At 35.4% G+C, this 16,875-nt stretch overlaps 1 protein-coding gene and 1 long non-coding RNA gene across 4 annotated transcripts in view; one reads left to right on the top strand and one right to left on the bottom strand.

Annotated features, from left to right (window-relative positions):
• RB1 (RB transcriptional corepressor 1) overlaps positions 1–16,875 on the bottom strand; it is a 178,140-nt gene that overhangs the window by 101,875 nt on the left and 59,390 nt on the right. For all 3 annotated transcript variants that reach the window (NM_001407165.1, NM_000321.3, NM_001407166.1), the window contains exons 9-14: positions 15,045–15,122; positions 12,413–12,522; positions 11,412–11,489; positions 6,524–6,611; positions 2,982–3,098; positions 366–422 (exon numbers count right to left, since the gene is read on the bottom strand). In NM_001407165.1, coding sequence (NP_001394094.1) covers positions 366–422; positions 2,982–3,098; positions 6,524–6,611; positions 11,412–11,489; positions 12,413–12,522; positions 15,045–15,122 — 528 coding nt within the window. The remainder of the gene's footprint in view (positions 1–365; positions 423–2,981; positions 3,099–6,523; positions 6,612–11,411; positions 11,490–12,412; positions 12,523–15,044; positions 15,123–16,875) is intronic.
• LOC112268118 (uncharacterized) lies at positions 142–16,828 on the top strand. Its single transcript, XR_002957522.2, has 3 exons — positions 142–181; positions 5,776–5,856; positions 15,040–16,828. It is a non-coding gene; the product is annotated as an uncharacterized LOC112268118 (long non-coding RNA).

The raw sequence follows: 16,875 nt of genomic DNA, 5'->3' as shown, positions 1-16,875 counted from the left end.
TTAATTGAAACCTTATTTGTGTCAGCATTGAATTTTTTTTTTTTTTTTTTTTTTTTTTAGATGGTGTCTTGCTCTGTTGCCAGGCTGGGGTGAAATGGCACAATCTTGGCTCACTGCAACCTCCACCTCCCTGGTTCAAGGGATTCTCCTGCCTCAGCCTGCCAAGTAGCTGGGACTACAGGTCTACACCACCACGCCCAGCTAATTTTTGTACTTTTAGTAGAGACAGGGTTTCACCATTTTGGCCAGGATGATCTTGATGCCTTGACCTCCTGATCTGCCCACCTCGGCCTCCCAAAGTGCTGGGATTGCAGGCGTGAGCCACCGCGCCCGGCTGAAATTTTTTTATATTGTTTTTAACTTACTGATTTAAGCATGGATTCCATTACTCGGTAATACAAGCGAACTCCAAGTTTGTATCGCTACAAACAAACAAAAAGAAAAATAAGAGCCTGCTATTTTAGAAAATCACAATTATGAAATTTTTTTTTTTTTTGAGATGGAGTCTCACTGTTTTGCCCAGGCTGGCCTTCACACTCCTGGGCTCAAGAGATCCTCCTGCTTTGGCCTCCCAAGAGGCTGGGATTATAGGCATGTACCACTATACCCAGCTGACAATTACTAAAATTTTTTAAAAAGCCTTTTCTTAAAACATACTTCTCACCCTTCTTACAAATATGGCCGCCAAGACAACACAAAAGCTAGCTTGTCTAAAACTCACAACTTAAGTATTAAGTGGTGATTAACATTCCCAAGTAAATTAACAAGAGGGTAGGTCCAGTACCTGGATTTCCTTAACTCCATTTCAGTTTATATCATTCATACTAAAGATAGGTTATGTGCCCAGTACTATTTTAAGCACTTTATGTACCTTATATAACATTTCTCATGACCTAGGACATGTATTTTCAAGATAGCTGTCCAGGATTAAGAGGACAGTCTTTGTCCATAAATTTAGTAAAACTGACACAGGCAAAAATCAGATCAAACTGACCTTATGAGCAAGAAGTTTTAGCCAAATAACTAGTTCCCATTATTTGAAAGAATAACCAAATTTTAGAAATATAAACACACACCATATTATTTCCTTCCAAACTAAGAGCAAAAATCTCATATATAATCATGCACCGCATAACAACGTTTTTGGTCAATAACTGACTGCATATCTAACAGTAGTCCCATAAGATTATAATGGAGCTGAAAAATTCCTATTGTTTAGTGTAATGTAGTGCAATGCATTACATTACTCACATCTTTGTGATGATGCTGATGTAAATAAACCTATTGCACTGCCAGTCATATAAAAGTATAGTACATACAATTATGTACAGTACATAATACTTAATAATGAACATGTTACTGGTTTATGTATTTATTATACTATACTTTTTATTAGTTTAGAGCATCCTCCTTCTACTTGTAAAAAAAAAAAAAAGTTAAATGTAAAACACCCTCAGGCAGCTCCTTCAGGAGATATTCCAGAAGATAGCATCATCATCATAGGAGTTGACAGCTCTATGCATTTTATTGTCCCTGAAGACTTGGGACAGAATTTGGAGGCAGAAGACAGTGGTATTGTTAATCCTGATCCTGTGTAGGCCTAGGCTAATGTGTGTGTTTGCCTTTGTTTTTGGCAAAAATCTTTATGAAATTGAAAAAATTTTTAAATAGAAAAAAGTGTACAGAATAAGGATTATAAAGAAAGAAAATATTTTTGTACAGCTGTATAAGGTGTTTGTGTTTTAAGCTAAGTGTTATAAGAGTCAAAAGTTTCTTACAAACTGAAGATTTATAAAGTAAAAAAGTTACAGTGAGCTATGGTTAATTTACTACTGAAGAAAGAAAAAATGTTTATGAAATTAGTTTAGCCTAAGTGTAGTATTTATAAAGTCTACGATAGTGTACAGTCATGTCATAGGTAATATTGTAGGCCTTCACATTCACTTGCCACTCGACTCACTGACTCATTCAGAGCAACTTTCAATCCTGTAAGCTCCTTTCATAGTAAGTGCTCTGTGCAAATGTTCCATTTTTTATCTTTTGTACTATATCTTTACCTTTTCTATGTTTGGATATATTTAGATACACAAATGGTAACACATTATGTTACCATTACCTACAGTATTCAGTACACATGCTGTAGAGGCCTGTAGCCTAGGAATGAATAGGCTATATCATACAGCTTAGATGTACAATCGGCTATACCATCTAGGTTTGTACAGACACACTCTACCAGGTTCACACAACAAAATTGCCTAATGATGCATTTGTCAGAACATATCCCTGTTAAGTGGTGCATGGCTGTAGAATCAAAAAGAACCATTAAATATCAATGTTTAAAACACTGATGGCATCAAAATATAACCTCACTACACTGAAATAAATGTGTACAGTGGACTCCAGTTTTCCAATATATTTTTGTATATTATCCTCATTAATGCCACACAACAAAGCAGAGCAAATATAGAACCTGAATCTCAGAGAAGTTAAATGACATGTCCAAGATCAACAATGGTAGAACCAAATATAAACCCAGGGCTGTCACTCCATGGCCCATACTCTTACCTATTATATTAGCTTTAGATTTCCTGAAATAATATCACTCAATAATATCACTGACAAATGGCATGTATAGTCCCATTCACATTAGGATATGCATACATGAACAGTCATACATGTAGAAGTCAAAGCAAAATCAAAAATTTAATATCAAAGATTTCAATTTTTTTCTTAGTTGTATTTTCCAAAATTTCTACAATGGCTATGTGTTCCTTTATTACATAGTTTTTATAATGGGGTGGGAGGTAGTTTTCCATAAAGTTACCCATAAATAGCAGCATACACAGGCAGCAGGGATATAGTATCTGACAGTATTTTATACTACTAGACAAATACTGTTAGAGTATTTATACGAACTGGAAAGATGCTGCTTTTAATATTATTACTCTATAGTACCACGAATTACAATGAATTCAAGTTACCTGTGATCCAATTTCGACACAACCCTGTCCCACAGCTTTAGCAAATTTCTCTTTAAAGATGTATCCTATATCCTTCACTCTTTTCAGTATACTTTCTTTTGGATTCACTGTGCAGTTCTTTAGGAGGTAAAAACAGAAATCAATGTCGAGGATACTGTGTAATCAGAATTAATATTTTCTGCTCCATAATATATGACTTTTTAAATTGTTCATAAAAATGTGGAAACACTTCCATAATAACTAGGTAACCACAACTACTGAACATAAGCAGACAATATCATTTCACTGGATGTTAATGAGCAAAAAATACTACAGTACAACTAAAAAACCCTATTATCTAAATTTTCTGCCACTAGGCTAGAGAAGAGCAAATTTGTTAAGCTTTCCATCCATCAGAAAGAGCCTCATACATTCTCATAAAATACCTTCAATTAAGAGTTATATTGGGATGTATGTTGCTTCCGAAAAAGCAAATGAAATAAAACCAAGGCTTGAGCTTGGTATCATTTACTAATTTTTTTTTTTTTTTTTTTTTGAGATGAAGTGTCACTCTGTCGCCCAGGCTGGAGTGCAGTGGCGCAATCTCGGCTTACTGCAACCTCCGCCTCCCAAGTTCAAGTGATTCTCCTGCCTCAGCATCCCAAGTAGCTGGGATTATAGGCAAGCGCACCACGCCTCACTAATTTTTGTCTCTTTAGTAGAGATGGGGTTTTGCCATGTTGACCAGCCTGGTCTCGAACTCCTGATTTCAGGTGATCCAACCACCTTGGCCTCCCAAAGTGCTGGGATTACAGGTGTGAGCCACCATGCCCGGACCATTTCCTAATTTTAAAACGTGCTTTGAAAGAGTTATGAATTAGCTAAATCATTTGATTACATTTTCAGAAATACAAGATAGGGAAATTGTTGCAAAAGAAGTTCCAATACATGTATCATTTGGAGTGGGGCTATTCAACTTTAATAATTAAAACACATCACAAGATGATGTATTAAAATGCATATTATATAATATTATATAATTCATATTATGATATATAAAAAGTAATCACAGCATGATTCTCATCAGCTACAAAGATTTATTCTATTTTTTATCCTTTATACATAAAACACATTCAATATATACATTCAAAAATAAAGTTTCTAAAATTAAGATTATGGCCAGGCACAGTGGCTCATGACTGTAATCCCGGCACTTTGGAAAACTGAAGTGAGCAGATCACCTGAGGTCTGGAGTTTGAGACCAGCCTGGGAAACATTGTGAAACACCATCTCCACAAAAATTACAATAATTAGCTGGACATGGTAGCAGGCTTCTGCAATCCCAGCTACTTGGGAGGCTGAGTCACAAGAATCGCTTGAACCCAGGAGATGGAGGTTGTAGTGAGCCAATTATCATGCCATTTCACTCCAGCCTAGGCAACAGAGTGAAACTCTGTCTCAAAAATATATATATATATAAATAAAAATAAGATTATAATTTTCATTGTAATGTGCATTGTCTGGCGACATTTTCACATTCTAGAATATCAGCAATTCTATATTCCTAAAAAAAAAAAACAGCACACAAACTTAGAAACATATAACAAACAAGCATTTCCTGTCATAAAAGAATTGTTGCCAAAATGTCCATTAAAATGTTCATAGCTTCTAAGATTTTACATGGAGGGAAGGTGGCATTAATTTTAAAAATGAAGAAATTTGAACTAATAAGGAAGTAAAATGAAGGAAAAACATAATGACCTTCAAGACATGTTCACTTTGACATATGCAACTTATCATCTACATAATTAAGCTTTTAAGCTTCATTAAAAGTTAAGCTTTAAATTGAGCTCTAGAAAATGTCTTTCACATGCACTCATATGTTCACTGGTATGCTATTCACAATAGCAAAGACATGGAATCAACCTAGGTGCCCTTCAGTGGTGGATTGGATAAAGAAAATGTGGTACTTATACACTATGGAGTACTATACAGTCATAAAAAAAGAATGAAATTATGCCCTTTGCAGCCACATGGATGTAGCTGGAGGTCATTATCCTAAACAAATTAATACAGAAAAAGAAAACCAAATACTGCATGTTCTCACTAATGAGTGGGAGCTAAATATCAGGTACTCATGGACATAAAGATGGCAGCAATAGACACTGGAGACTACTAGAGGGAGGAGGGAAGGAAGAGAGCGAGGGTTGAAAAACTGTATAAAAACATAAAAAAAGATCATATAGTTTCCAAGTTTAAAAAAAAGTCTTTGAGGCAGAATTTTTTAAATAAAAAAGAACTCCTACATACTCCAAATATTGGAGGAAGTATTCAAAATGATATGAGAAGAAAGGGCTTATCATTCTTTTAAATTCTTTCATTAGCCCTTGCTAAAAGGTTTAGGTAATTGGGGTACATATGTTTTGGCATATATTCTTGTGCTATAGATAACTCATAAACAAAAGCGACTTTATGCATATTGGACAAACAAAATCAATTCTGAGCCAAAACAATTACGAACATGATGACAGAAATTACTTTGCTAATTCCTGGGGGAACATAGCAAGAGATGACAACAGATTATGACAAAATCACAGGCAGGTTATGGCAATGAATGAATTGTTAACAAGTACAAAAAGCACAGTTGCTGAAATAAGCCAAATTTTAATAAGTCTCCTGACCCTATGTCCAATTTTAGTGGATGAGCATTTCAGTGGGTCCCAATCCTCATCTGAGTTTAAGTAAGGAGTGAAGGAGCAAGCAAGCAATATAGATGATAGTTTCATTCTCTCTCTTTCTTTCTCCTTGTCTTTAGGGGAGAGAGGGTATCAGATGCCTTCAGATATTAAACTTATTGTCTATCAGGAGTTGCAAACTATAATGCTAACAGGGCCAGGTAAGAATTGTAAATAAAAATGGGTTAAATATTGGATGAAAAAGATTGTAGGGGTATGGGGAATGTTAAGTCCTATCTAATACTACATTCAAAGAAAAGATCTTAAAAGTAGCCAGAGAGAAAAAGACAGATTAACTACAAAGGAACAACAGTTAGATTGAGTGGCATAAGACTTCTTAATTAGCAAAAATGGGATCCAGGTAATGTATTATCTTCAAACTTATAAGAGTCTAAAAAGTAAATGTCAACCTGGAATTGAAGATCGAGCAAAGCTATCTCACAAAAAAATAAGGGTAAAGAAAATTTCAGATCAAAAAACAAAATAAAACCTCAAAAAGTTCATCCCAAATTAATACCACTAAAGTAATTATCAAAGGATATATCTGAAGAAGAAAAAAATTATCTCAGAAGTGAGGCATAAGTTGCAAGGAAGAATGGTGAGCAAGGCAAATAGGTAAACATAAAAATGTTTTAAATAACACTGTATAAATAAAACAATACTACTAATAATATATAATTTGTAAGATTAAAAAAGCAAGAAAAGATTATGGATAACTACATGTTAGATAGGAGATTAGTATTTTAAAAAGAACTCAGTACTTTAACTTTTAATTTCAAGTTTCTTTGCCAAGATATTACAATAAATAATGTTTCATATATGGCTTACGTTAAAATAGGAAATCAGATTTTCTGAAGGTTGATCACTTGCTGAATTTAAAATCATCATTAATTGTTGGATAGTGTTCATAACAGTCCTAGAGGGGATAAAAATAGGAAAATGTGTTAAGCAATGAAGGGAGAAAAAAAGAAAAAATGAAATGTTTTCCATCTCCCAAGTTAAATGTATCTTCAAATACACTGCCTCCCACTTGTCTCTACATTCCCTCAAATAAGACTGTGGTTTATAAGAAATTACATTTTACTTAAATCTTTAAGAAAATATGTATTCACAATCAATAAGTTTATAGTTATAGAACAGATATACTTATTTACTAATAAAACTACATATCAATAAAATAGTGGCATTATTTTTAGGAGAAACTATATAAACTGGCAACAAAATGGTATTGTTTTAAGAAAACATTATTACAACCAAATATTAAACATTTTCAAATTAAAGACAATAAGATACTTAGCAACTCAAGTAAAGAATCAGATGATTTTTCTTTACAGAGACCTTCAAGAAGAAAGGATACTAAGATCCTGGATACATTTAAAAATCACCACTTTCACAGCATAAAATTAGGTCAATCTCTTAAGATCTTGTTAATTCTATAATTTTATGTGTGTGTATTATGAAGGGGGCAGTATATGGTAAATATCAATGTTACAATTTTGGAGTAGCTGAACATTTGGGACACTTTAATTATGCAAAGAACTGTAGAATGTTTAGGGCTGAAAAGATCCTCAACTATTATTTAGTAAAATATGCTCAGTGTTCTCAGCTAAGCATGTCTAAACCAGTATTTACACTTCCTCATCTTTCTTTTCTTTTTCTTTTTTTTTTTTGAGAAGGAGCCTTGCTCTGTCGCCCAGGCTGGAGTGCAGTGGCGCAATCTTGGCTCACTGCAACCTCCACTTCCCGGGTTCAAGTGATTCTCCTGCCTCAGCCTCCTGATTATCTGGGATTACAGGTGCCCAGCTGGGCTAATTTTTGTATTTTTAGTAGAGACGGGGTTTTGCCATGTTGCCCAGGCTGGTTTCGAACTCCTGTCCTCAGGTGATCCGCCCACCTTGGCCTCCCAAAGTGGGATTACAGGCGTGAGCCACCACACCCAGCCTCGTCTTTCAAATATATTGCAACACAGCTTCTATATGCTTCTGTGTCCACTAATCATATTTAAGCTACAGTGATTAAAGCCACAAATGACCAACTGATAAAAACAAAAGACTTTTCTCATTTGTTCTAATACTTGACCTTCCTTGAAGCATTTGACACTGTTAGAGAAATACTTGCTCTTAATGAAACTCCCTCCCTCCCTCAGCTTTCTTCGCTTCAATCTCTGCACTCCCCAATCATACTTTCCCATTCTCTAGAACAGCAGTCCCCAACCTTTTTGGCAACAGGGACTGGTTTCATGGAAGACAATTTTTCCATGGACCATGGAGAGTAGGGGGAATGGTTTTGAACTGTTCTACCTCAAATCATCAGCCATTAAATTCTCATAAGGAGCATACAATCTAGATCCCTCACATGCGCAGTTCACAATAAGGTTCATGCACCTATGAGAATCTAATTCCACTGCTGATCTGACAGGAGGTAGATCTCAGGCAGTAATGCTCACTTGCCTGTCTACCACTCACCTCCTGCTGTATCACCCAGTTCGTAATGGGACACAGACCAGTCTCTGGCCCGGGAATTGGGGACCCCTGCTCTAGAACCTAACAATTTCTGTCTAGTCCTTAATGCTAGCATCCTTTAGGCTTCAGCCCTTAGCCACCCACTCTTGCCATTATGCACCCTCCCTTCAAGCAATCTCATTTTTTTTTATGGGTTTAACTCCCCTGATGATTCCCAAATCTATAGAAGGCTATCCTACTGCTTACTAGATATCTTCTTCAGAAATGCCTCAAGAACAACATTCTAAGTATGAATTCATCAAATATTTATCAAATCTGTTATTGTTCCTTCATTCCCACCACTATCGTTGGTTCAGATCTTTAAAAACTCTCAAGTAAACTGCTACAACAGACAAGCCCAGAGATTTTTATACACTATGTCTGTGGTAGTAAGGCCTAGGCATATTCCTCAGTGGAATGGGACACAAAATTTTTAAAAAGAAAAAACAAAACAAAATTCCTCAGGTTATTCTAATTTGCACACATGGTTAAGAACCACTGAGACAGACTGACAGGTCTATTTCTCACTTTTTCTTATTCTCCTCAGTCTATCCCCCCACTGACTATTACCATGTGAACTTGCAAAAATTATGTCTGATTTTATCCTTACCCCTGCTTAACATCCATTTATAGCACAGGCTATATCATGCACATGCTACACTCCAAATTTGTGAGTATGGCATATAAGGCCCTTCATATCTAGTACCCACTCTCCTCTCCTGTGACTTCCTACTCTCATTTTATAGTCAATCAATACAGAGCTGCTAATAGTTCCCCAGACACATTGTGTTGTGTGATATTGTGAAATAGATGTTTGGTCTTTGACCCCATATCCTGACATACAACTCGTAAAATACTTAGAAACTCCAGTGATGTCCTTTTGTGTGCTAATGAATTGACATGGCTGGCAGCCCCTAGGAAGCATCTGGATGGGGGCTGGTCACTAGAAAGCCCGAGGCAGAGTTAGAGGGTTGGAACCTTCAGCCCCAGCCCCCAACCTCTAGGAAGGGGAGGGAAGCTGAAGGTTAGGTTGATAATCAATAGCCAATGATCTAATCTGTCATGCCTATGCAATGAGGCCTCCATAAAAACCCAAAAGGGCAGGGTTCAGAGAACTTCCGGATAGCTGAACATGTGGAGGCTCCTGGACAGCTGTCTGGCCAGGGAGGGCATAGAAGCTTCCCATCCCATCCCCCATACCTCATCCTATGCATCTTTACATCTGCATCCTTTGTAATATCATCTATAATAAACCAGTAAACAGAAGTGTTTCCTTGAGTTTTGTGAACTACTCTAGCAAATTAATCGAACCTAAGAGGTGTCATGGGAACCCCAACTTGAAGCCCTTTGGTCAGAAGATCCAAAAACCCAGACTTGCAACTGGCATCTGAAGTTGGGGCCAGTTTTGGGGACTGAGCCCTCAACCTGTGGGATCTGACACTATCTCCAGGTAAGCAGTGTCAGAAGTAAATTAGAGGACACCCAGCTGGTGACTGCTGCAGAACTGATTGCTTGTTTCTTGGTGAGGAAAACTTTCCCACATTTGGTCACAAAAGTCTTCTGTGTTGATTGTTGTCGGTGGTGTGACAGCAGGGTTTTCTCCACTTACATGTTTCACAATTCCAGCCCTTTGAACATGCTGTTCCCACTCCCTAAAATCTTTATCCTGTGACACAGGCCTTTGCATGTTTCAAAATTCAGTTCAGACATTGCTTTATAGTCCCTTCTGTGTCATCTCATTATCTTGTCCAAAGTATATACTATACTTATATGAAAATGTATCCATTTACATATCTATACAGTCATTTGAAATATATTACTGATTGCCTACTATGTACCAAGTTTTATAACAGGCCCTAATTATTAGACAGTGAACAAAAAGGTTATGGTCTCTGTGATATGGAATTTTAAGGCTATTTTGGGTATTAGTAAAAGCAAGCAAACACAAATGAATCTATCAATATAAATTGGGATACATGCTATAAAGGAATGGAACAGGATGATATGAGAAATAATAAAATACTTCAGAGAGAAATATCTTTTCAAAAGCAATATTTGTGCTGAATGAAGAGTAGCAGTTGGTAATCCATGGAAAGAAAAGGAGGAAATTTCAAGAAGAGGGAATATCAAGTACGAGGGTTTTCAAAAAACTTGGAAAGCCCAAGAAACAGAGAAGGCCAAAGTGTGGCTAACACAGAGTGAGAAAGAAAACAAGATGAGGTTGGAGAGGCAACAGAAACCAGACCATATAAGATCTTTTAGGCATTGTTAAGGAATTTGCACTGTATACCAATTGCAATGGGAAGCAGTCAGTGGGTTTAACAGCAAGGTGAATGTAACTGATTTACATTTCTAGGAGAAATTCTGGGGGCTCTATGGAGAATATCTTTGATGGTGAGGAGACAGGAACAATGATGAGACCAGAAGGAGCAAGATCAGGTAGTAGGCTACTGCAAAAAATCCAAGAGAAAGAGAACAATGTCTTGGACAAGAGTTGTGAGAGCAGAAATGGAGAAAAGTAGATGCACTCAGGAAATATTTTGGAGGTAGATTATTCAACAAGCCTTGATAACAGATTTTGATGTGGGAAATGAGTGAGGAAAAAGACATAAAAAATAGTTCTAATCCTTTAAGGTTGCATGCAGATCAAATAGTGATACTTTAATTTTTTCTTTTTTATTTACTGAAATGGAACACATTCCTATTTTAGGTTATGTTCTTTAAGAACAGACAAAACTAGGTCCAATAACCATATCTTCAGCAACCAGTAAAATGCCCAGCACACAAAGATTATATATACACATTTTTTTTTTGAGACGGAGTTTCGCTCTTGTCACCCAGGCTGAAGTGCAATGGCACGATCTCAGCTCTCTGCAACCTCCGCCTCCCGGGTTCAAGCAATTCTCCTGCCTCAGCCTCCCGAGCAGCTGGGATTACAGGCACACACCACCACCCCCAGCTAATTTTTGTATTTCTAGTAGAGACGGGGTTTCACCATGTTGGCCAGGCCGGTCTCAAACTCCTAACCTCAGGTGATCTGCCCGCCTTGGCCTCCCAAAGTGCTGGGATTACAGGTGTGATCCACCACACCTGGCCTTCAATATATATTTCTTACATGTATGTATGAATACATAAAGAAACGTGAACAAATCTGAAACACTATAAAGCCATGAATAACAAAATTATAATATAATTAAAAGTAGGAAAATTCATACCTAACTGGAGTGTGTGGAGGAATTACATTCACCTCTTCATCAAGGTTACTTTTTCGTGGTGTTCTCTGTGTTTCAAAACTAAATAACAATAAGTGAAGTCATTCACATACTGAAAATTTACAATTTGTGCTTTATGCATCAAAAAAGCAGTATAATGCTTCTGTTGTCTCATAAAATCATATAAAATGATAACTCAATAATAGATAGGATAGAAAATAGATGACCCAGCTGCTGCTTAAATAAAATATTTTTCACTACTCTTTTTAATTGTGGGTCTCTTTCCATTATGTTTATGACAAAGAGGTATACCAATCATTAAGTCTTTTTTTAAAAGTGAAAGTCAGATGCTTTCTCCCTGGTGGTATTGATAACCAAGTTGTTCAGTATTAAAAAGCATTAAAACTCAAGTTTTTCAATGCATTATTCCTTCTAAAAACTTTATTTCCACTTAAATAAAATTTAAAACATTTTACTGTGTTTAACTTCTAAATTACGCATATTTTCAGTTTCATATTAAAAGAGTTCATGCTAAAGACACAAAATTAACTTTACTTATGATCAGTCAAAAATTTTAACAATCACTCTCAACCATTCCAATTTTAGGTTTCTACATGATAATAACAGAGACTACACTTTTGTATAAACTTTTTTAAATAAACCAGGCAGGCAATAGTATATGAAAGGATAGAAATAAGGTAGAGACCACTATTTGAAGAAACTAATTACTTTAGCCATTATCTTTTGGTGCACATTTTAAAAAATTATATTCAGTTAACTGCAAAAAGGTAACTGTTATAGGACACACAATTCACATTAAATCTATATTTGTAGATAAGTTATATGCTTAAAATACTGTTAAACTTTTCTTTGTATAAAGACATTTGAAAGTAATTTGTTATAAATGATATCTAAAGGTCACTAAGCTAAAGACTATATAATCTACCTATATCAGTATCAACCTATATCTAAAGCAAATCAATCAAATATACCATGTGCAATACCTGTCTATAGAATCAGTCTGAAGAGTTTTATCATGATCCAAAAATAATCTTGCATCTAGATCTTTATTTTTAAGATAAATTTCTTCGTATCGTTTAGAAAGATTTTCAACCTTGAAAGAAAAAAGTCACTGACAATTATCCTTTACATGTCATTACATCTCTCAGCACACAGAGGCACAGATTTCATTAAAGAATTTTTGTATAATATACATTTAATTTTGTAATATACACTGAGTTCGCATGCAATATAAATAAGGTCTATCTAAAAGTGAGGTACAGAAAATTGCAACATTTGTTCAACTTTGATTTTAGGTCTATTTCGTGCATAGAAAATATTTATTAGAATTTTATGTAGACAAAGATAGCCAATGCTACAAAACAGTACCTAAGATAAAAATAGGTATTATAATAACTGTTTAACTGCCAAGATTTTCCAAACATCCCATATATGCTTTACTTTTAATCTTTTTTTTTTTTTTTTTTTTGAGATGGAGTTTCGCTCTTTCGCCCAGGCTGGAGTGCAGTGGCACAATCTCGGCTCACTGCCACCTCTGCCCCCGGGGTTCAAGCAACTTTCCTGCCTCAGCCTCCCGAGTAGCTGGGATTATAGGTACCTGCTACCATGCCCGGCTAATTTTTGTATTTTTAGTAGAGACGGGGTTTCGCCATGTTGGCCAAGCTGGTCTTGAACTCCTGACCTCAGGTGATCCACCTGCCTCGGCCTCCCAAAGTACTAGAATTACAGGCGTGAGCCACCGCGCCCAGCCTGCTTTTAATCTTTTATGCTTATCAATATAAAATATTTTTTCAAACATTGTTGCAAATCCTCTTGATTACATATTCTACCAATGTTTTCTAAACCCTTTGGTTCACTCCAGTACCCTTCAGTTAAGTATCTTGGGCAAGACAATTAGCTCAATTTATCAGTTCAATTAACACACTTGCACAATTTATTCCCAATCTTAGATACTTTTTCAATTGCTAGAATTTGTAAATCTTTCATCAGTTCTGATCCATAATTTTTTAATTATACTTTAAAAACCAATGCCCAAGAGAAAACTATTGGCATGCCTTCTACTGTGACTTTTAACGCCAAAGTGATTCCAACCTCAGAGAAGTAAAATTGCATTTTAAAAGGAGTGATAGGAAGAAATCCAATTAAATGCAAACTTTTCATTAATCTTCATAAATGTATTAGATAGAACAGTAATCCATGCTTATGTTTAATCATTGTTCCTGTCCTACCTTAGTTGAGGCACTAATTACCAGTCATCTATTGATTGGCTATATTATGTGAAATATTGGAGAAAAAGTAAAATTACTCTTAAGATTTATATTAAAACTATAATCCTTTTAAAGGAGAAAAAAAGATTGCTACAACAGATTTTAAAGTTATGAACAGCCTAGTTTTTGGTACCAAAAGTGGTAACAAGACTCATTAATATAACATTTGGTCCCTTCTTGCCTCTTCAGTACCATATTTTAATTGTTCTGCCCTGTATCCCAACCTTAATGAATTACTTAGAGTTCACTGATCAGACCATACTATCATACATCACTGCACCTTTGAATCTACAATGTCCAACCCTTGGAAATGCTATATCTGTAATGCTTACTCAGATTTGAAATCACATCACCTCTAAACTATTTTCCACAAAACCTATCAGCCCTAGTTTGGATTAGGTAGCTCTCCTTTGAGATATCACAGAACCCTGTGAATACTTTTTTCACACTCTTGTAGACTCCTGTAATGCTCTATTTCTTTGTCAGCCTCTCCCACTAGCACTTTAAGGATAGTGACTGAGAGTGAAATCTCTGTATCCATAGTATCTAGCACGTGCCTGACATATATTAAGCATTCAAAAAATATTTGTTGAATTAATAAATTAATTCAAAAACTAGCTATCAATTCAGGTTACAGAACTAGCAGTCTAGCTATTTTATTTCATGCCTTTTGGTCATAGTGACTAATACTATGTCTTCTAAAACACTGGTTTTGTTCTTCATCATCTATCACAGCATCCTTTTCTCCACATATTTCGTCTTACCATGCAAAGCTCTCAGTTATTCTGTTCTCATTGGAAAGACATTTGTAGCAAAATGCGAAACAAAACAGGTAGATGGATGGAATATCACTAAGGTAAAACACTTCTGCAATAGTCACAGTCATTTCAACAAATACATTTGTATTTTCAATTAAGCAGTTCTTAAAAATCCTCAAAAGAGATGTTCCACAATGTAGTAATGCCAATAATGTTGATGGCATTAATCATGGTTCCTACGCTTAATGAGGCTTACCAAAGCAAATTTAATGGTTTATATTTAGCTATTAAAATTTAGCTATTTAATGGTATTTAGAAGTTTAAAAGTCTATACTTTGATTTTGGAAAAAATTCAATAAAGATTGATTTCTAGTATAAATCACAAAATGATGCTAATACATTTGATTATATACTCAAAAGCTTTTTGTTACTATACAAAAGTTAGTTTCACCACAATTCTACTTGGCTAGATTCTTCTTGGGCAAAAAAAAAATGTGATACACAGTAAATTGATCTAAGAAAGTTAGACAATTATCCTCCCTCCACAGTCTCAAAACATTAATATTTTATTAAATTTCCTTTCAGATTACCTCTGGAAGTCCATTAGATGTTACAAGTCCAAGAGAATTCATAAAAGGTATAAAATTTTTGAAATAAACATTTTTCACCTGAAAAAGATGAAGTTACAACATGATCATTAAAATTTAAAACAAAATCTAATCTCTTGACTCTTGAACAATGCAGGGTAAGTTAGAGGTGTCAATCCCCCATGCAGTAAAAAATCTGTGTATAACTTTTTTATTTTTTATTATTTTCTTAGAGAAGGGGTCTCTCTATATTGCCTAGGCTGAAGTGTAGTGGCTATTCACAGGTGCAATCACATGCATTACAGCTTCAAATGCTTGGGCTCAAGCCATCCTTCCACCTCAGCCTCCCAAGTAGCTGAGACTACAGACCTATCGATTACTTTTGAGTACCCAAAATTTAACTAACAGCCTACTGTTGACTGGAAGCCAACCAATAACATAAAGATTGAATTCACATATATTTTGTATATGTACTATATATACATACTAAATATATCATCTTCTTATGATAAAGATAGAGAAAAGAAAATATTAGGAAAATTGTAAGAAGACAAAATACATTTACAGTAAGTTTATGTCATCTGTTAACAAAAATCGTCCGCCTGAAACAGCAGGCATCTGCAGCTACAGTTTTGTATGTATTTTATGGTATAGTAAATGATAAAATAGACTAGTATCTACATATATTTTGTACATTCAAGACATGCCTTTTTCTTAATTTTTTCTGTATTTGTAGGCTACACGGTTTGCTACAAATTTTTTCAAATTATTGCAAATCTCCAAAATTTTTTCTAATATATGTAATTAAATATATCTGTGTATAAACGGACCCATGCAATTCAAACCTGTTGTTCAAGAGTCAACTGTATATTTGTTGAAATTAGTAAGCCATAGTGCAAAAACTATGATATATCTTGATAAATCATTCTAATACTTCTTAAACTAGATTTTAGGACCACACTCTCACTCCTTCCCAAAGTTAACAGAGAAATTTCAAAGATGTAACATTTTTTACTGCTATCTGGTGTTAGTGATTGTGGACAATAAAACAAACTATGAGAAAAACTGTATGGTAAAAAGGAAAGAAGCAATAGTACCAGATATCCCAAAGTCTAATGTAGACGCTGTAAATAATAAGCTATCAGTCCCTGGAAGCTTGTTTACTCATTATAAAAAGGAGATTGAATACATTATTTGTAAGATTCCTTCTAACATCCACATTCTATGAACAAGACAAGTAATTCCTGGGAATTCATATGTATTCTCCAGCAGTCATTATGTGCTGTAATATTTAGAAAGAGAGTAATTATAGAAGGCCAAACAGAAATTTAATGTTGGTATCACTTATCACTAAACTAAAACACTAGAGCACTAGAGTTTTCTAAGCAGGGCTTTTTTGGTTTGTTTGTTCGTTTTTGGAGACATAGTCTCACTCTGGCGCCCGGGCTGGAGTGCAGTGGTGCAATCATGTCTCACTGTAACCTCAAACTTCTGGGCTCAAGCAATCCTTTTGCCTCAGTCTTCCAAGTAGCTGGGACTACAGGCACATGCCACCATGCCCAGTTCATTTTTTTAAATATGTATTTTGTAGAGACAGAGTCTCGCTATGTTGTTCAGGCTGGTCTAGACCTCCTGGCCTCAAGAAATCCTCCCACTTCGGCCTCCCAAAGAGCTGGGATTACAGGTGTGAGCCACCATGCCCAGCCTTGGCAGGGTATTTTAAAACATTAGGGGTATCAGTAACCTCAGAGGAATAAAAAAAAAAAAAAACTACATTTGAAAACTATTGTCTTGATTATATACTTTTCAGTGATTCCAGAGTGAGGGAGCTACT

Source organism: Homo sapiens, chromosome 13, assembly GCF_000001405.40.
Source record: "Homo sapiens chromosome 13, GRCh38.p14 Primary Assembly".
NCBI classification, from domain to species: domain Eukaryota; kingdom Metazoa; phylum Chordata; class Mammalia; order Primates; family Hominidae; genus Homo; species Homo sapiens.
This window is presented reverse-complemented; position numbering and strand designations above follow the sequence as displayed.